At 35.7% G+C, this 22,514-nt stretch overlaps 1 protein-coding gene across 3 annotated transcripts in view; it reads left to right on the top strand.

The window, feature by feature from the left end:
• The window catches only part of LRP1B (LDL receptor related protein 1B), a 1,899,594-nt gene that overhangs the window by 633,117 nt on the left and 1,243,963 nt on the right, over positions 1 to 22,514 (top strand). For all 3 annotated transcript variants that reach the window (NM_018557.3, XM_017004341.2, XM_047444771.1), the window contains exon 3: positions 17,367 to 17,504. In NM_018557.3, coding sequence (NP_061027.2) covers positions 17,367 to 17,504 — 138 coding nt within the window. The remainder of the gene's footprint in view (positions 1 to 17,366; positions 17,505 to 22,514) is intronic.

Here is a 22,514-nt window from a genome sequence, read left to right as displayed (position 1 = left end):
AATTTATATCCTAAATATAATTTTTTTATTCTCTTATTTTCATAAAAGTTAAAAGTCAGGTTAAATGTCTTTATGATAAAATAAATGTAATTTTTCATTGCCCATTTAAAAAACTCTGCATTTATCAACTTTTTCTTCAGGATTTTGTAATTTATCATCATAGTTTGTTCAGTAGATTTGCGCTAAAGTTCAGGCCTAGTGGACACCTATTCAACTCTTTAAGCATTTTTATAGCTTTTCAATCGTAGGGAAAATTAAAGAGAAGTTTGGCCAAACAGCAAACATCCTGCAGTGCTTATTTGCTTATTTTTCTATCATCGCCTGATTTCTTTATCCTGGACCTTCCTTCCTGTTCTCACTTCACACAAATGTGGTGTAGGAGAAAAAACCCGGTACTTCCTTATTCAGTTATTCTAGGTTATTTTATAGCTGTAAACTAGGACGCCAAGTTGCTACCAGAGGTGTTTTTTGTTTGTTTTCAAGTAGACCCAGATTAGGATCTCTGTTAACAACATAATTAAAAATTGAAGAAAGCATGGTTAGTACATGCAGTGGTAGAGGTGTGAGTAATTGCAGGTAGCAGAGGAGAGAAAATAGTTGCCTCTAAAAAAAGTATTTTGAAATGTCCTTCATGCCAGTTTCCCAGATACATAAACTCTCCACCTCACTTTTCCAGAAGTAAATTTTGAGAAAATAAGGAAACAAATGAAAGTAAGAAGAAAAATAAATTGGGGGATGTCTGTGTGTGCATTTATATATTTCTACTTCTAATATATTTATAATATATGAGAAATTGCAAATAAAGTGGAAGTTGGTCTTCTGCCTTTGTTTTTCTTATGTCACAAGTTCTGACTCATAGCTACTGAGGCTGCTGATCCTTGATGTATGATAATGTGCAGTAAATTGAGAAGTGACTGATAAAATTTGAACCGAGCTGTCAGATATGACATCATATGATCAGATCATTTGTACTTTCATGCTATCAATTCTGTTTCTAAAAACAAACCACAGAAAACAGACTTTTTTCATAATTTCTCGCATTTTATATCTGGTTCTTCTTCTTTTTTCATAATTTCTCACATTTTATATCTGGTTCTTCTTTTCTATTCTTTTCTTCTTCATAACCCATGACATTTTTCTTATTTCTTCTTTGATGATACAAGCAAATTCCTATGTAGTGTTTAGAAGATTTTTACCTGACTATGAATGCATATGCTCTTCCAAAGACAGACTCATTCATAAGAATCTGTGACAGGTCAGCATTTCCAGGATGTGCCAATATATTAATATTCATAAAAAGATGAAAACTAAGTGTGCATGTTCTTCTGTAAGCGACATCGTGTTTAATTCGTGGTTGAATGAAATGAGATGCTCTGTTTAGGAGCTCGATTTCAATGAACGTATTTCCAGAAAATGGGCACTGAGTTTTAAGTCTACTTTTAGGAGGCATTAGAACGTTACACTTTAATTAAAGAGTAGTCTGTGTAGAAGCAGCACCGACATTGCCTGGGAACCTCTAGAAATGCAGAATTTTAATTCCAACAAATATCTACTGAATCATAATCGGCACTTTAAGACCTCTAGGTGATTCAGATGTACATTAAAGTTTGGCATTTTTTTTTTAGAGTGCATAGTATGGCTCTGAATGTGGCATTTACCAAATGTTTATTATGACACATACATACAAATTCAGGAGAGACATAATCCATGAAAATCAGATCAGAGTAGCAAAATGGTGAAATTGTTTAATAATATCAAGGAAGACGAAACCCTTGATGAACTCCAGCATAAAATATCAAAATATCGACATTATTCTAGAATAATTTTAAGCTGTCATATTTGAAGAAGCTTTGAGGTGTATCTTAGTTGTAATAAAATAATATAACAGTGTTTCCATGATAGTTTTACATATAAATAAGCATCCTTAAAGAAATTCCCTGGATTACTCTTTCTGTGTTAAATACTGTGCTATTCTACCATTGCTGTCATTAATCAACTTCATTAGATAATATCATAATGAGAACATAGGTGAAGCTACAAGAAAAATGTTGCAGAGAAGAATTTGTATATTTTCTAGAAGTGACAGATATATATGTGTATATTTATATATTTGTTGCTTATAGGAGAGCATTATTTTTTATTTTACCAAATTATTGTTCGTGTATGTGTGTGTGTGCATGCACTCACATACTCAAATCTTTAAAGGTCAGTCTTCAACGAGGTTTCAATCAGATTCCATGTAGTAAAGGTATTGAATTGACAAATACCTTCTTCAGCATTCTCTTACAGAATAAATAAAATAAACATTAAACTTAAAAGTAAAAATGTGTTCTACTTTTTTGGAATTTTTATTTGCATATACCTGTTCAAACTTCTGTAGAAAAGAACCTTTTCAAGAGTCATGTTATGAATTTAAGGCCAGATTGAAACTGGGTCATGTCTGTTGCCCAGTGCCTGATTTTCCATTCTGTACATTTCTGTTGACCTTTGCTTTTTCTTAACCTTCTTGTTTCAGATCCCGTTGACCATTTTCCTGCTCATTACCATGGGTATGAGTGGTCAGAAAGGGCAGATGAAACAAAAATAAATCAATGACTTTCTTTGCAAATATATCTGAAAGAAGATTTGATGGAGGAGACAAGACTCACTGGAATCTTGCTACAACAGTATTTATCGTAGAGCAGAATTCATTGTAAAGCTGACCAGCTTTGGAGTCCCTCAAACAGGATAGAGTGATGAGGGAAATGTTTACCTAGTGTATTTGCTTGATATGAGTTTCATTTATGTTTCTACCTTTTTTATAGCCTACAACATAGATAACCGGAAAAATCTTTCTATTGTTACAGTTTTGTATTTTTTCCTGAGCCAAGACATTTTCCCAAAGGGGTATTGCAATTATATAAATCATTAGAATTGTCCATAAATGTAAGGAATTCTTCTGTAGTATCTCAATAACAGATATCTTTAGTTGATACATTTTTGCAGGCCATTCAGAAGCTATTTAGTAGTTTAGTGTCATTACCGCTATTAGTAATGCTACAACTCTGTGTGTGTGTGTGTTTGTGTGTGTGTGTTTCAATCTGAATCTCATTGTTTTCTGTGTTCTTCTTTTACTCTAAATAAACCTCCATATCTAGTATGCTGTGAAAGGTGTAATTGCTTTATAAAATGTAGAGCAAAATTACTATTGCCAGTAGATGAGGTCTATGAGGAAAGAGAAGCCTTTTGCTGATTCGCTAGTCACCAAATACTGTGTATTTAGCAGTTGTTTAATGGTTCAAATAAATTGAAGACATTCAGCTCTGTTTAAAACAAGAAAATCAAGGTGCTATTAGTTTCAGTGGCAAAAACAGCAATTACTTTTACACCAGCCTAATATTTAGCGCACTGAGGCAGTCATATGAACTCACTCAAAGGCCCTGTAGTGATTCCTTGCAGCATTTCCTAGGGATAATCTGGCTGAGTGTTTAGTGTTGGCAAGTTGAACTTCAACTCAAGCCCAGTTAAGGCTTTGTCATTTTTAATATGCAATTGATTACCAGGTGGTATCCATCCTTCCTATTAGGGTTTTGTGTTGCTTCAAAGGTACTAACTTGCCCAGTGTCAGTTCTAGCACAAAGAGGATATATGGGTGGCAGATGTTAGGAGGTAAGATCTGAGGCTGAAAAATGGAAAGACAGATCCTTGTACCATATGGTATTTGGACCTGTGATGTTGACATCCTTCATGCTGGGCTTCAACCTGCTGAGCTAACCAGGCCTTGAGGCTGTGCCAAGTGGCAGAACTAGCAGGTCTTCACCAGGAAGACGTAGCAACTGTCATGTAGCTGGTCTGCTTGATCTCAGAAGATGGCCCACCAAAGAGAAAATAAGCACATGGTGATAGACTGATTAAATGCTTAAAGGAAGGGTTTTGTGGTAAGGGTCAGTTAGCTGATTATTGTAAGAATTGGGCTTTACCTTAGCAATACACACTATTGAAAAACTTACTTGTATTCACTAAGGACAACCTAGGGTCAAGTGAATAAGTATTCTGTCATCAAGGCAAAGCATGTGAGATCATGCCCATAGTTAGGATTTACTGAAAACAGACAAATACAGTTCCTCTATGCAGTTTAACTGGTGTTCATGATACAGCCATAACGGTTAATAAAATATGAAAACACTTCTGATTTTAAACGGCTGCTACCCAGTACCATCACAGGACCCCTCAAATAATCTCCTGCTGGCTCAGACACAGGTGGGCAGAGCGAGAGGCTACCCTGAGATGACTCCACCTATTTGCCTGTCAGCCTGCCTGTGATGTCTCTCATTTGCCAGCTCTTGACCCCATCCCTTTCTCCCTTTCTCCCACAGCCAGAGTTCATGGATCACCTACAAATGGCCAAGATTCCCCTCAAGTTGCCTATTTATGGCTGTTGGTAAAAGCTATGACCTGTACAGTATATTTCATCTGTTGTTAAATATTTGGGTATCACCCTGACTGTAAGAGCTGTTTTAGTACTGGCATAGCATGGCTTCAAAATCTTGACATCTCAAGTGATTTTCTTCCCTTTTCCTCAAGATTCTTCCATAGTCTACTACACAAAAAAGGCAGATTGAGACAGAAAAAGATACATAATTAGACTTCATTGCTTTGTCTGAGATTGCAGCACAATGTAGTACAGTAATAAAGAAACCAGGTTTTGAAGACAGAGGAGATCTAAATTCAAATAATAGCGTTACAACTCTGTGACCTTGAAGAAAGTATTCAACCTCTGCAATCTTCCATTTCCTCCTCTCTATAATAGCAATTATAATACCTAACTCATGATGTTATTGTGAAGATTTAATAAGATAATGGACATTATGTGCTCACCACAGAGCCTGGAACATAGGAAGTACTCAATAAACAGCAATTATCCTATTAATGCTACTTTTACAGAATGCAATAAAGGACAGTTTGTTTTCATTAAAAGTGTATCATAAAATCGTTTTCAGAGTTAATGTCATTTCGAATGCCATAAGAAATTAAATTTTGAAGAATATTTGTCATCAACAACATTCACTTTGGGTCTGAAACATAAAATGCATATACTTTACCAATGATTCAGGACTGGTATATTTAAATGTTTGTATCATCCTATGACTTTTAAATTGAGCTGTTTAACATTCTTTCTTCCTCTCAAGTGTAAATTGGCTTATATAAAAATCACCGTGTCTCGCACTATGATTCTTCCAGTGAAAGACGATTAACTATACGTGCTCTAACTGATCCTCTCACTATAATACTACTTTTATGCTAATCAGGTCTCTCCCTTATTTATTGTGTCTTCTCTCATCTCTATTTTGTCCTCATCCACTCAATCCAGGAAAATATCAGAATTATTTTTCCAAGTAAAATAACCAATGAACAACTTCTTTTGTTTTGATAAATATGCCAGATCTTTCTACACATTGTCTGCATATACTGCAGTGAATCTGTGTCATTTGACCAACAGTCACAGAGCAAACTTCTCCCTGAATCAGAAAGATATTTTTTGTTTTGTTTTGTTTTGTTTTGTTTTTAGGCCAGTACATATAATTTAATGTTGTCTTAAGGGAGATCTATAAAATAAAAATGCTTGTTTTCCAGTTTTTGTGGAGTTGATTTACTCTTTTTTAAATTATAGAAATGAGCTCATTTGACCAGAAATAATACTTTCTGTGGATTCAAAAGTATCCTTACTCTCATTGTTTCTTAATCTGAGAACAAGAAAGGACAGAGACATTGTGTTTACTAGTTTGGGTTTCTTTTATACTTAGTCATCAAATGTTGGTTTTCTTAGTGTTTTTTTTTTTTCAGAAAGCTAAATAGTGACTTTCAAGGACTTTGATAATGATTTATATATTGATAATTCCTTTAACGATTATCACTTGGCCATCACACCACCAAAACCCTTTCTTCCACTAACCAGCTGACATTAGCATGCCTTTGGTTTTTAAGCCTTAACTGGGGACCTGCATCTAACTTTTTATTATTTTAGCCTATAGAGGAAGAAGATGGACAAAGAATCCTCTTTCTTTTACAGGTATCTTAAAAAGAAAAAAACAAATGCCTCTTAAGAGTGGCCAATAGCAATATCTCTGTGTGCACAGTTTGGCTCAGAGGCAATCTCTAACACATTTGTGGAATCAAAGATCAAATGACTCAGCTGTCTGACAAGTGGATGAGCCAGTTGGCTGCTCCCATTCAATGTCCCTTTCTAGCAGTAAGACCCCTTTCCTCTGAGAGTTGTGTGGAACTCTCTGATTTTGGCTTGTCTTTTCCTGTCAGACATTAGTCTTTTAACATGCCTCCTCCCAGGGAGTTATCCCTGCTTCTAATTGGGTAGGCTCTCCAAGCTGCCCTGAACTTCAAAATTGCAGTTAGGAGCTATCACCCAGTTAGAACAGGTAAAGTAGTCCCAAAGAACAAGAGGAAAAAGCTTTGCTTTTAGAGATGAAATACTTATCTTCTATTCTGTATTTCTGAAAAAAGATACAAGTGAAACATTTCATCTTTGGCTTCCTAAGTTTTTCTTAAATCAGCAAATTGAGTAAATCCTTTCCTTACAGAGAAATTTTAAATTATGACTGGAACATGTGTTTTATATCTTAAGGACTCAATAGGATTTCTAAAAATTGAAAATTGAAGAGCATCTTCTTTCTGATTCATTGATTAAATATGTGTTTATTCACTTAAAAAGTCAGAGAGCCAACTTTACAAGTCAGCAAATTGCCACCCAAGAAATGTGATATGAGAATCAATCAACAATTGTCCTTCCCTCAAACAAAAGTACTTTTATTATTTTCACAGAGGGCTTGTAATTTCAGTCTCTAGGACTGATTCATTGTTTTCATAAGAATCCTGTTTAATGCACATGTATCACCCATGAAAGAACCTAGTATATCAACTTGGCTAGCAAAGAACAGGGCTGTAAGAGATTAAAAAAAAAAAAAAAAAAAAAAACATTTTAACCTAGGTGGAAGTGGAGGGAGGGGGACGAAGGAGAAAATAAATTTCTGGAGCTTTTAACAAGGAGAGTGTGAGGGTAATCCAGCAATTCAGAAATATGAAGAATGCATGGAGAAGAATAAAGGAGCATTTAAAACACCTAAAAGAGCACTGATTTTTAATCATCCAGGCTGAGTTCCTTCTATTAATATGGGGTTTGATGAGAGGTAATGCTGCAATGTCAATTACTTATAAAACAGTGATTTCATTTATTTTCTTATCTATTTGCTTTTGTAATGAAAGGTCAGAAAGCAACACACTCAATATGCCTAATATATTTCTTATTTCTAAGGCTATAACTAATGACAATAATTTTTGGCTATGTCCACACAATATTTTTTATTTGCCAACTTTGTCTATATTCTAAGTGTTTATAGTTGCAGTGCAGGAAAATGTTATGACTTAACCTATACTTTTTGGATTCAGGTGCCAACTTGCAGTTAAACTGATAAAAATCACTTGATATATTCTAAAGTTAGCAGAAAACACACACACACACACACACACACACACACGAGGCTATTTTAACATGACAATATTTTCTGACGTGATCTAAAACCCTTCAGTAAAAGGATGTTAACTAGACATCCATTGTTTATATTCATAATAATACATACCATCGGTACTTTGGTCATAGCAGATGTTCTCTTTTTAGGTGATCAGGCATGTTTTTCACATATTAAATACATAAATAAAGCTCTATATGTTAGATGCAAACAAAATTTCCTAAACTGAGTCTTCAAAAGAGAAAGGATATTTAAATCCTAAAACAAATTATCAAAGCTACAATAACTCCTTTCCCAGGGCTTTAAAAATTAGATGTCAGAGATGGCTAAAGGGTACTGCAGCTGGACAAAATCAATCACCTTTACATCTCTTGCAGTTTGTGAATCTTCACAACATCCATTTGAAATATGTAAACACAAAAACCATTACTGGAACCTATTTTACAGATAAATTACTTGATTTGAGTGAGTTACTATTAGTATTGAGTGCATATGAATCTTTAGAGGTTCTTATTTGTATTCTTGCATCCTCAAGTGTAATCATACAGATTAACAAATGATTCAATTAATATTGTTTTACTTGGAAGTTGAAACTCATAAATCCAATTTTAATTTTATTTGAAATACTATAAATTTGTTTTATTTAATGCACTTACATATAAGTTTGTCAGGTGAAGTAGCTCAGACGTAAAAGTAATTTGTATTTGAAAATAAGAACAAGATCTTATGAAATAAACACTGTTCTGGGAAAGTTGTATTGCTTCTGTAAAGATATTATGTGATTCGATATTATGTTTAATAATAAGTATGATATTAACTATCTTTATATTATATACTAATTTTCCCAAATAACATTGAGTAAATGATGTTGTTCACATTCTTGATAGTCTTGTAAGTGGTCTAGATTGCTGTAACTGTTTTGAATTCTCAGCTATGGTAATTACAGATATTATAATGCAATTTTTTCATACTCTTATAATAACTACATAAAAATTACCTTTCCACCTTAAAATACTAAAGATGATAGTTTGTCTGTAATACATCCAAGAAAATGGATCTAACTGTGTGTGAAAAGCATTCTTAATAAAAGAGGCCAAGGTGTAGTGGCTCATGCCTGTAATTCCAGTGTTTTGGGAGGTGAAGCCAAGCAGATTGCTTGAGCTCCAGAGTTTGAGACCAGTCTGAGCAATGTGGCAAAATTCTGTCTTTGAATCTGCCCCCCACCCAGTCCCCACTCACAAAAAAAAAAAAAAAAAAAAAAAAAAAAGCCAAGCATCATGGGAGGCTGAGGTGGGAGGTTTGCTTCAGCCCAGAAGGTGAAGGCTGCAGGAGCCACAATCATGCCACTGCACTCCAGCCTGGGCAATAGAACAAGACCCCGTCTCAAAAAAACAAACAAACAAACAAAAAAAAACAAACCCATGTAAAAGAACACACTTAAAATCAGGTTAATGGTACGTTAGAAATCTTCATGTATAACTTAGTTATAATGACACTAAACATTTGTTTTTAAATAATTCCAGGAAAGTTAATTTTTAAGGCACTTGTTACAAATTCTTAGAAATCATAGGATCTTCAATTTAATAAGGAGAAAGATTTCACAGGAATAAATATTTAAAAGATGCTAGGTATGGGGGCTCATGCTTGTAATTCCCAGCACTGACAGGCTGACAGGAGGACTGCTGAAGCCTAGGAGTTTGAGACCAGCCTGGGCAACATGGTGAGACCCTGTCTGTACAAAAAAAATAAAAGAATTAGCCAGGTTTGGTGACACAAGCCTGTAGTCCTAGGTACTTGGGAAGCTGAGCTGAGAGGTTACCTTGAGCCAGGGAGGTCAAGGCTGCAGTGATCTGTTTTCGTGCCAAAAGAAGTAATCAATTACTTCAGTAGAAGTAATCCTCATACCCCTCAGTGTTTTGGAGTTAGTAGCAGGCTTTACTAAAATTTTCAAGTAATTTAAAAAATACAATCAAAACTCTGTTTTTAAAGTAACTAGGTAGCGATAATCAGAGGAAGTGCAAAACTGCATAATTTTAATTTTCTGAATTTCACGGACATCTTATGCTTTACATATCAAATTTGGTGATAGCTTTACATAGCAAAGTATTTTTTACTTGATTTTATATCAACTAGGAATCAATATGTTTTTATTGCTACATTATGCTACCCAATATTGTAAAATAGAGTGGGAAAAAAACAAATAAATGTAAGTCCTTGGGCCTCAAGAGATATATGCAACCATGCATATATGATACATTTCATAAACTATACAATGAGGCCTGTACCAAAAAAAGTGTGATATAGACAATGTCTGCACAAGTTCATTGAACAAAATGAGAGCAATGACATCCACAAAAAACTCCCCTTTGCCTAGTGTGTCCCAACCATGATTTTATTTGTTCCTATCACAATAGTGTCAGGCAGAAAGTATTATTAATCCCTATTTTTCAAATGTGAAAGAAGAGTCTTGGTGAGGTTAAGTACTTTATGCGAGTTTAGACAAGCAAATGGCTGTTGAAACTCAGATTCAAGTCTTTGATCTCTAAACCTTAACATGCTTTTCACTGTATTATGCTGTTTTTCACAAAGAAAACTTTATGGAGAGACTAGGGTTTGAGCCTAACCTTGAAGGATTTTCTTAGGCAAATAAAAAAGAGGTTTCCTGTCTAGATGATGGAATTGCATAAAGAAAGATCCAGGAGTGGGAATATATTTGGTGTATTTTGGGAGGGTGAAAGATGACAGTGAATGAAGTAGTGTATAAATACTTAAAATTGATTGTAAATAATGTTAATGAAGCTTCAATTAGATGATGGGATCAGGCTAAGGAGTTTGGTTTTGTTGTGACCAGCAATTGAGAACCATTATAATTTTGAGAGTATTCGTGAGATGAAAGTAGCATTTGTAGAATCTGTTCAAAGAATGCATTAATGGTGGAAAAGAGTAACTTCTAACATGTCAGAGGAAGTAGAAATTAGCCAGGAGTTAAAATGCAGTGTGTATTCCTTCAACAATGGTATGCCAAGCACCAATTCCGTGTCAAGAAACCTGCCAGGTGTTTGCATTGGTGAGATGGATGAGAAATAATCAATGACATCAGATATCTCATAGTCTTATTTTGAAGAAAAATACTTAGAAATAATAATCATGAGCAAATTTATAATCTGCCACAGAATTTGGAGAAGTCAGAAAAGTTGCAGGAAAAGAAATGACAGTATATAGTTAAAGGATAATCATGTGTTTCCCAGGCAAAAGGTGGAGGGGATTTTATGAAAAAGCATGTGTGAAATGTGTCCAAGCATGTCCATGGAACGCTGTGAGGAATAACAAAAATAATGGTGTGAATAGAATATAAGAGGCCTGAGAAAGAATGGTGGAAAATGTTCTAAGAGAGAGGTATTCTGATCAGTCTTTGGAGGACTTCGCATGTCTCTGGCTTCACTGTGGCCGGGACCACAGAGGCCCTGGAGAGAAGTTCGGCAGAAAGTTAGAAGCAGAGGCTAGCGTGACATGGGAATAGGCATGCAGCAGGTGCAGTCTATGTTTTGAAGAAGTTTAAAAGTAAATTTTTTCAGTAGGCAAAAAGGGATACTGCTTGAAGGAAAGTTTAAAGAGCAAAAGCAACTTTATTCTTGGGCATAAGTTCAGAAAATTGAGTGAGGTTGCAGGTACAGGACTTTGAAATATTGGGAAAATAGATGGGAAATAAAACCAAGAGGCAATTCTAGATAGGACAAGACCCAAAAGGTGGGATATAATACCGTGTAAGGTAGAGAGGTTAGCTGCGGGGAAGGAGAAGTCATGCTGTTTCCGCTAAGATATGACGATGTTGTGACAAGTGCAGTTATTTGCCTGTGTCTGCCATTAGAGTAGAAGAAAAATTTCCCTCTCCACAAAACATGCTATCTCAATTTTCTTTAATCAGAAGAGATATTTGATGGAACTTATGTCCTTTATTATCCCCTATTAATGTACACAGTAAAATATTTACTCTATACTTAAAAATAATTTAAACATTCAGAAGTATACAGATGAATCCCATTATCCTTGCATTATCCTGGGAGCATTATTTGTAAAATAAGATTTAGTGTAAGAAGTGAAATCTATTTTGACTAATTGGTCAAGACTTATACATAATTTAAAAGTATAAATACTAGCCTCATATGTTGATATAATTTGGGTCACCCAATGATGGAGTTTTTCTTTTTAAGTTATTACATTTTCAATTTTGCTATCTTGCTTAGGTCACCTACATTTAGATTTAAAGGACTGGAAATGTTTTCTGAATGTGCACATTGCTGAAAGGTGAGGTGACATTCTCATGAGGACTACCATACTTGCTAAAAATGTTTAGTGTCTTGGTACAATTTTGAAATTTGTCCTACACTACCTGGTCACCTCGCCCCTGTCCCAGGTCCCTCCCAACTCCTCATGATTCAGTCACTACAGAGGTAATGCCAGGTTTACCAGAGAGCCTCCAACCATGTTCCTTTTTGTGCCTCATTTATAATCTCTGGCTGTGAAATGTTCAAATGCCTGAAAGTCTTCATGAGATTAATCATTTAATTTAAGGCAACGTTGCCATATTCTCAGGAATTCATGAAGCCCCCATTATCCCATGCTTCTCACCCTGGTGGATGGGTAGAAGCAGTAATCAGAGTGGCTCTTCTGTCCATTTACAGGATGGACAGAATCTGTAAGGAGCTTCATGGGATACAAATATTTTCACTGCACAAATGATCATTGGGAATTAGGATAGAGTAATCCCCAAAGCAACAGTATATGAAATATCTATATTGCCTGGCTTTTGAGAGAATTTTGTCTGAGGCAGGCATTGCTATTTCTCAAACTGCCCTGTCTGCCTCCCCATTTTCCAGAAAGAACAACAAAATACTGATTTAAGCAGTTTTCCAACTGAAATATCCTAGCACTGGTCAAAGAGGTCTGAAATATTTATTCCCTCAACTGTGAGGCTAATTACCGGGGCCTGGGGCCACCTCTAAAAATATTATTTGCTATTTACTCCAGTGTAGCTTGCAAATATTATAATTGTCTTAATGTATATTGATATGAAAATTTGGGAAGGACTGGTTATGGTACAGTTCATCCAGCCATGATCCAGCTGTCTCATGAGTTACCCAGTAGTCCTGGCAACCAAGACAAGAGTATATCAAAGATGATAAAGACTGTAGTGGCTAGTCTAAAGAAACCAACTAACTCTTTAGTTCTCCCAGACTAATTTCTCTCTTGTCCCTAAACTTTACCACTAGGAATAATCTAATAATTCTATATGTTGTCTTTGCAAAATAAACACATATTTTTCTGTTTTCTCAAAATTTATAAGTAGCTGAGCCTCTCTTCTGGCCACCAGATGGGTATTTTACTCCTGCTATCATGTTCCTCAGTTACCTGGCAATCTTAACAGTGAAAAATCAAACTTTGATTTGAGCCAACACATGAATCACTTTTAAAAAAATCTTGCATGATTGTATATTTAGAAAACCCCATCGTCTCAGCCCAAAATCTCCTTAAGCTGATAAGCAACTTCAGCAAAGTCTCAGGATACAAAATCAACGTACAAAAATCACAACCATTCTTATACACCAATAACAGACAAACAGAGAGCCAAATCATGAGTGAACTCCCATTCACAATTGCTTCAAAGAGAATAAAATACCTAGGAATCCAACTTACATGGGATGTGAAGGACCTCTTCAAGGAGAACTACAAACCACTGCTCAATGAAATAAAAGAGGATACAAACAAATGGAAGAACATTCCATGCTCATGGGTAAGAAGAATCAATATCGTGAAAATGGCCATACTGCCCAAGGTAATTTATAGATTCAATGCCATCCCCATCAAGTTACCAATGACTTTCTTCACAGAATTGGAAAAAACTACTTTAAAGTTCATATGGAACCAAAAAAGAACCCACATCACCAAGTCAATCCTAAGCCAAAAGAACAAAGCTGGAGGCATCATGCTACCTGACTTCAAACTATACTACAAGGCTACAGTAACCAAAACAGCATGGTACTGGTACCAAAATGGAGATATAGACCAATGGAACAGAACAGAGCCCTCAGAAATAATGCCACATATCTACAACTATCTGATCTTTGACAAACCTGACAAAAACAAGCAATGGGGAAAGGATTCCCTATTTAATAAATGGTGCTGGGAAAACTGGCTAGCCATATGTAGAAAGCTGAAACTGGATCCCTTACTTACACCTTATACAAAAATTAATTCAAGATGGATTAAAGACTTAATGATAGACCTAAAACCATAAAAACCCTAGAAGAAAACCTAGGCAATACCGTTCAGGACATAGACATGGGCAAGGACTTCATGTCTACAACACCAAAAGCAATGGCAACAAAAGCCAAAATTGACAAGTGGGATCTAATTAAACTAAAGAGCTTCTGCACAGCAAAAGAAACTACCATCAGAGTGAACAGGCAACCTACAGAATGGGAGAAAATTTTTGCAACCTACTCATCTGACAAAGGGCTAATATCCAGAATCTACAATGAACTCAAACAAATTTACAAGAAAAAAACAAACAACCCCATCAAAAAGTGGGCAAAGGATATGAACAGACACTTCTCAAAAGAAGACATTTATGCAGCCAAAAAACACATGAAAAAACGCTCATCATCACTGGCCATCAGAGAAATGCAAATCAGAACCACAATGAGATACCATCTCACACCAGTTAGAATGGCAATCATTGAAAAGTCAGGAAACAACAGGTGCTGGAGAGGATGTGGAGAAATAGGAACACTTTTACACTGTTGGTGGGACCGTAAAGTAGTTCAACCATTGTGGAAGTCAGTGTGGTGATTCCTCAGGGATCTAGAACTAGAAATACCATTTGAACCAGCCATCCCATTACTGGCTATATACCCAAAGGATTATAAATCATGCTGCTACAAAGACACATGCACAGGTATGTTTATAGTGGCACTATTCACAATAGCAAAGACTTGGAACCAACCTAAATGTCCAACAAGGATAGACTGGATTAAGCAAATGTGGCACATATACACCATGGAATACTATGCAGCCATAAAAAATGATGAGTTCATGTCCTTTGTAGGGACATGGATGAAACTGGAAACCATCATTCTCAGCAAACTATCGCAAGGACAAAAAACCAAACACCGCATGTTCTCACTCATAGGTGGGAATTGAACAATGAGAACACATGGACACAGGAAGGGGAACATCACACTCCAGGGACTGTTGTGGGGTGGGGGGAGGGGGAGGGATAGCATTAGGAGATACACCTAATGCTAAATGACAAGTTAATGGGTGCAGAACACCAACATGACACATGTATACATATGTAACGGGCCTGCACGTTGTGCACACGTACCCTAAAACTTAAAGTATAATAATAATAAAATAAAATAAAAAAACAAAACAAAACAAAAAATCTTGCTGCTTGTGAGAACTGCTGAGTCATTTTTTTGTTTTCTGACTATAACATTTCTGAAGTTTCTCAGGTTTATGAAGTGTTTTCTCTGAGGGTAACTTTTAGAACTTTTACAGAAAGGTCTAAATATAACTGGCCTAAACATTTCTTGGACATTTATGCAAGGATGCATGTTTTTAAATTTTTGTGAATCAGCCAAGTAATTTTAAAAAGCTACTTTATGATGTTGGTCATAGAAGTTTATAGCTTTTTAATATTAATGTATGTGTCTTTAAACTTCATTTTTAAATGAATTTATGTTAATATTATAAACATAAGATTAAATAGTTAGAGGCACTCAGTGAAAACCCTTTCACTTACTTTTACTCCTGTAATTTGTATTCAAATTTGTATATTTATACAAATTATTAATATATATGCACACACACATATATATATGGAAATAAAGATATATTTTTAGAAATATTGATACTCAAGTTACAGAAGCATGTTACAGAAAATGAGTTGTGCATTTGGGGTGACAGGTGTTTGACATTTAATAGCCTTGTACAGTAGTAATTACATAAATACACATGAAATTTACAGAGAAATCTGTTAAACAATTCAGCTAGTGAAGCTACAGCATAAAAATTTGTTTATATCCCCCAAAACACAAAACATTGAGAGAAAGCTGTTTTAGCATCCAACAAAATAATTTACACCTATAATTCCTATTTGATAAAGTATTTCAAAATTATATTTAACTTTTGGCAACTCTAGTTCGTTTTTTTGCTTGTATGATATTTTTGTTTTCTTTTATTTGTTTTCTAATTTTATCACATTGCAAACTTCTGCAATTCTCACAATTTTGCATATCCTAAAATATGTTAGATTGGCCTTTTAATTATTATTATTATTTTACCTCAACTAAGTAGGGAAGGTAAAACATGAAATTTTTGAGCTTTCTTTTTCAGGAGGAGGAAAGGGGTTTACAACAGAAAAGACAGTTTGAGATACAAGTATTTACCAAAAAGCAACTTACCTTCTGAGAACATTTTTTACTTAACTATGATAACACCAAACATTTATTAAGTGTCTGCCAGACAGTATTCTAAGAGCTTTTGATAGAATCCTCACCACAACCCTGTGAAATAGAGACTTGATATATAGCTTGCTCAAGCCACTCAGCTTATGAATACTGGGGCCAGCATTTGGACCCAGGAATCTGGCTCTGCAGTCTGTTAAGCACTCTGCTATGCTACATTTATTTATGTAACTAATGCATGTTGAATTCCTACTCAGCCTACATCGCAGTGCTCAGCGCTTTGTAGTCAATAACTGTTGACATTCACAACAACCCTACGAGGTAGGCTTATTTGATAGTTTCATTTTATACATGAGAAAACTAATAATTATTTGATTAAATCAATTAATGTCGCATGGATTCGGCAGAGTTCTGATTAAAACCTAAGTGTGTCGGACTATAGAATCAAGGCTGTTGCAATAATCTATGTCAGATTAATACATGATAGTAGTCATATTGGAATTACTACATTTTAGATTTGGAAGAGCTGGATAAGACTAAGAATCATATGGGGATTTGGAAAGTGCTTATAGAAGTGTAGATAGGATTTGGGAATTGACAGCCTGAAATTCAGATAAAATAACATGCAATTTGGATGCTTGATAAAGATTTGGAATGGGTAAACTTTGAGAAAAGACCCTATGTTCTGATTTAAGCTTATCTTAAAAACACAAATGGTGATTATACAAAGTAGTTATCACTGGTGTGTAAAAACAATGAGTATGCCCTTTCTTTCACTTCCTGTTCTTTAGCAAATTTTATTCTATTGTAGTTGCTCAGTAAAAGATTTTTAAACAATAGAAGTCATACATAAATACATTTATAACTAAATGTTCTTCATATTCTTAAAGAACAGACTAAATATAACCTTTAGATTGACATAACTTCAAGTAAATGCCACTGAAACATTTTTGTTCCTGTTACCTGATGTAATTCTAACAAGAGATCTGCGGAGAACCATTATCCATAGTTTACAGCTGAGGAAATTGAGATTCAAGGAGTTTAAGTACCCTGCCCAACTTATCTAGGGATATGAGATGAAACAATGACTCAATCAACCCTCAGATTTTAAATCCATACTATTTTAATGGTTGAAAAGAATATTTATGTTTTTAATGCGTTATTTGAAAAAATACATATTTCCTTTCCTATGCAGCTTTAAAAATTAGGTGTTTAATCACATAGGCTAACTTCAATGTCTCTGAGAACAAGAGCAGCACTCTTACAGTATTTTCTATAGTTTTGTTTTGTAAAACAATGCTAGTAATTTCTTGTGCTTAACAGTTTTACCATTTAGAAAAGCTAACACATAATTCTGTTCTTTTTTACATCTTTTCAGGTCCCGAGGAGGTAGAAATCAAGTGCCCCTTGAATCACATTGCTTGCCTTGGTACCAACAAATGTGTTCATTTATCCCAGCTGTGCAATGGTGTCTTGGACTGCCCAGATGGGTATGACGAAGGAGTACATTGTCAGGGTGAGTCCATTTGTGGAACAATGCAACTGAAATATTAAATTTTACATAGTAATGAAAGTTCAAAGAAAACCTATAACCTGCCTTTTCTTTCAACTACAAGCATATCAGTTATTAAGAAAGCATGAATTTTACTGCCAGACATTTTAATATGCATTTCAAAGCTGCAAGTATTATGTTTGAGCAAAAAAACACCATTAGACAACACACACACACACACACACACACACACACACACAAATTTAGACTTTGAAGTTGGGCTCTTAAACAATTATATGTTTCATATAAAAAAGTGCTTTTGAGCAAAAGACAAATGAGAAGTCTTTGTCACAGCAGATTGATATCACATCGTGTTATAAGCTTGTTTCTCTGAACCTCTGCTTAAACAAAGAATTTGAAGGAATGCTTCGTCAAACAAGTATTTCAGTAAGAAGTATGAAGGAAAATTTTTCCTTCATAATCTTTCCATGATATTAGACTGTTAACTTTCTTGTAATTTTGTCTTTTTAAAAATCAACATCTAAATTCTACAATGGTACAATATTACCTAGATATTAATGATATGAGGGATAATAATTAAAATCTAAAAATTAATAAAAAGTTAAATGCTACTGGCACTTTCTAGTGCGGGGTGGAGTGGGGAGAATGAAACATGAGATGAAGAGAAATAAGAGCAGAAGAAAACAGTCAAGGATCCAGGTAAGGACCCAGATTTGGAAGCAGAATCAAGGTATCAGTCAAGTGAATCAGGCTGCAGGATGGAGCTGGGAAAGAAACAACTGTACTGGAAGTCTTTAACTCAGATTCTCATAGACTGAGTGTAACACAAAGGGTATTGAAGCTAAGATTTCAATAAGAACCTGTCCTTCGTTTGGGGGTCAGTAAGACAACAAAGAATAGAAGAAAGGAGAGGAAACTGGAGATAACATATCTGGTTTCTGGGTAGCTTCACACAAACTAATTGCTGTCATGGGGGAAGAGGTCCCAGGTCACCAGAAATTCCAGTTGTTCGGGAGGAGCTCCAAATATGTATACGTTTAAAGTGCTCAAAGTCAGATGCTATTTTTTAAAACATTGTATAGTCAATAATATGCCCAAACAAAACCTGTCTGGGGGCCTGACAGGTCTTGTTGGCTGACAGTTTTCCAGGTCTGGGGTGAAGTAAGCTGAATTCAAGACCATAAATGGAGAAATATATTAGAAAAAGCATAAATCTTAGAACAATAACCTGAAGATGTAAGAGTGTTGAGAGACTACAGGTAGGCTGTGGAAATCAACTGGTCACTAGGTCTTTTCCCTCTTTCTAAAGGAAGGTCCAATTACGCTGACTCTGTGGATAAATTCTGACTGGGAATTTAAAGATCTTCAGAAGCTTTCTTCTTTGGCCTGAGTTTCCTTTCTTAGCATTAAAATTACATAAAAAATCAGCAGATTCATAGTTGCAGGTATGAATACATATGTAATAATAATGAATGAGAGATTTTATTTTTATGTAAAGGCTTTGTGACATCTTTTATGTAATTGTATATGAAAAAGTGATATGAAAAGAAAGTAGGCCGGGTGCAGTGGCTCACTCCTGTAATCCCAGCACTTTGGGAGGCCCAAGCAGGCAGATCACCTGACGTCAGGAGTTCGAGACCAGCATGGCCAACGTGATGAAACCCTGTCTCTATTAAAAAAACAAAAAATTAGCCGGCTGTGGTGGCAGGGGCCTGTATTCCCAGCTACTTGGGAGGCTGAGGCAGGAGAATTTCTTGAACCCAGGAGGCAGAGGTTGCAGTGAGCCAAGATTATGTCATTGCACTCCAGCCTGGGTGACTGAGTAAAACTTCATCAAAGAAAGAAAGAGAGAATGAGAGAGAGAGGGAGGGAGGGAGGAAGGGAGGGAGGGAAAGAAGGAAAGAAGGATTTTTAAATGATAGGCATTAAAGAGTTTAATTTTCTTTTTGGATATTATATTTTCTAGATCCTAATTTTATTCAACTCAGTTATAATTCAGGCTTTTTGTTATATTGTTTTTGAATTTTCAGATAGATATGTATGACTAAGCTTTTAAAAGAACAAAACCATCACCTTTCCAAATATTTCATCAGAGATGATTACACACATTTGAATATCATAAACATACTTCTGTGCCAAGGATCGTATGAAAATATATCTGAGTTTTCTGATAACATTTAGATTTTTGATCTAATATATGAGGGCATATGTTAATAGCATAAAAGGGGATTCAAATAAAAACAAAGTATTTGAACAAAAATAAAATACTTTTAATTTTATTTTGATCCTTGAAAAGATTGACATATATATTGGATTAGGACAAATTTCTAGTATGTAGTTGTTTATGCTCCATTCTTTTTTTTCTGTTCTAATTCAGTTATTTAAGTGTTTCAAGTTTTCTTTCTTTTATCACATGTGACAACTTTTTTTTTTTTGCCAGTAGGAGGTTTAGTTTGCAGTGGGAGGTTGATTGTACCATTTTGGACTTTTAAATATTTTTACATTTAACCAAATAAAGTGTTTTAAAAGACCTAAGCAACCATTCATTATGACCTATGGTAGACTTAGAAATAATAAATATATTTGGATTTCTACTTGCTATTTAACCTCAGTGGAGGGTTTTTCACCTTCTTTTCTGGCCTTGCACACTACATAGCATCGTAAGAACAAGGTGACTAAAGAGATATAGTCATCCTAGAATCAATGATTTAAAAAAATCTTTCTGCATTGAGAAAATAAACTCAGAAATGAGTTTACCTGCTTGGTCTTGTAAAGTTTCCTCACCACATGGACAAAAACCAAATCACTGGGCAACATTAGATTTGCAACGTTTATATAGTTTGTGTTTAAATGTGAAAAGGTGACTGCCTATAAGCAAAGGTACATTGTAGGAACTCAGTCTACTTTCTCACCCTCAGCCTTCCTCCTAATTTGTGGTCACACCTGATGAAACATTGTTTCCTGGAGAGTTAATTAGGAACCAGCCCCATCAAGTCTGTAAGGAACTTTCTTATCCACTATAGACAGAAAATAAATCAAGAAACCAGATTAATTCAAACGTTACCTTTCTTTTTGGAAATTCTTTCTTTTTTTTTTTTTTCCAGAACAATTCTGTCTAACTCGGTTATTTTTACATTGCATCCTTTTTGTTGCATTCTAAGCATAGACTATAATTTAAGTAATTATACCTAAAGCCTAAGATATGATTAAAAAATGGATGTGGTTTTTTTGTTTGTTTGTTTTTTGGGGTTTTTTTTGTTTGTTTGTTTGTTTTTTGAGACGGAGTTTCGCTCTTTTGCCCAGGCTGGAGTGCAATGGCGCTATCTCGGCTCACCATGACCTCTGCCTCCCAGGTTCAAGCGATTCTCCTGCCTCAGCCTTCCAAGTAGCTGGGATTACAGGCATGCGCCAACACACCTGGCTAATTTTGTACTTTTGGTAGAAATGGAGTTTCTCCATGTTGGTCAGGCTGGTCTCAAACTCCCAACCTCAGGTGATCCACCCGCCTCAGCATCACAAAGTGCTTGAATTACAGGTGTGAGCCACCGTGCCCAGCTGTTTTCTTTTTTTCAGAAGAGGATCCAAAATATATTTGGTGGTATATTTATATCCTTTATAAAACTAATAAGGGAAAAAATTAAAATTTTGGGGGTGATGTTCTGGTCCTGGGAATGTTTTTGTATCAACTGAATTGCTTTGTGAATATTTCCTAGAAAAGTCAATATCTTTCTAGTAAAGATAATGAAAAGATATCTATTATTAATGATTTTCTATAACACTGATATTTTCATCTCCATAATTGGACTCCATCTGAAGAAAGAATAATGGATTTTTGTATATGGGGGTACTTGCATGTAGAAATATGCTTATAAAAGTTTTACAGTAAAAACTTTCAAAATCACATATTTTTGAAAAGTTAATCTCTTTCTACACAGTACTTCATATTGGTGGTAATATCACCTTGTCTAATTGCATGAGCAATGAAAATGCATCCTGTAAAATACAAGGCCTCTCAATCCAGAAAATTTCCACAGAAATGCACACAACCATATAAAGAATGATGGAAGAAGTGAAAAACTTTGACAAATAGAAACAAGATGGACTAAGATGTATCAAAATGCTGTTTTAAAATTTGACATTCTTAAGATAATTTATTATGTTAATGAAACAGGAGAGTTCCCTGACTCCCCTCCCAGAATGTGCGACAGAGTTGTGGCTCATCTGTTGGGCCGCCATGGGCTCAAACCCCTTCCAGGAAGGGGAGCACGCAGACACACAGGTGCAGGAGCTGGGGCCAGCACTTTTGGGCTCTGGCCCCAAGGTAGCATTTACGGTTCGGTGCCTGCAACTCCCAAAGCCCCAGTTGGCATGTTATAGTGCTCTTTTAGCTCTGCCATCTGCAGATGGCTTAAGTGTTAACCAGCTGGGTGCCCTCTTAGTACCCAGGTTCTTGTCTGGTGTCCAGGAAGAATCAGGTCACACAGGGAAATTGAAGGATGGTAAATGAAGGAGATTTTATTGTTGGACGGAGGTGGTTCTCAATGGAATGGATGAGAAGCTGGAAAAGGGATGGTGTGGGGAGATGATCTTCCCTTGGAGTTCGGCTGTCCTGCGGCTGATCTCCTCTCTGACCATCCCCAACCGAACTTCTCTCGACATTCAGATGCTCCGTCGCTTCTCTCCTTCTCTGCCTCACCACTCTGTTGCTCTGCTGCTTTTCTGCATTTTTATTCTTCTCTTTGTGGAGCCCGAGGTTTGGGGTTTATATGGGTACAGGATAGGGGGGTGTGGCAGGCCAAAGGTCAACATCTGGGTGTGAAGACAGGAATGCCTGTTCCCATTTAGGGCCGTGGGTTTCCAGGCTTGAGGATGGGGCCTTTGCTGGGGAACTGCTCTCTTCTACCCAGGATTTCCCTCCCTCCTGTCAGTATTATTAACATTTAAAGTGGGTATAAGCAAGAGAAGCCTTGTTTTTATTCACATCCCTGTTAGATTACATTTGTAGTGCCAAGT

Source organism: Homo sapiens, chromosome 2, assembly GCF_000001405.40.
Source record: "Homo sapiens chromosome 2, GRCh38.p14 Primary Assembly".
Lineage (NCBI taxonomy): Eukaryota > Metazoa > Chordata > Mammalia > Primates > Hominidae > Homo > Homo sapiens.
This window is presented reverse-complemented; position numbering and strand designations above follow the sequence as displayed.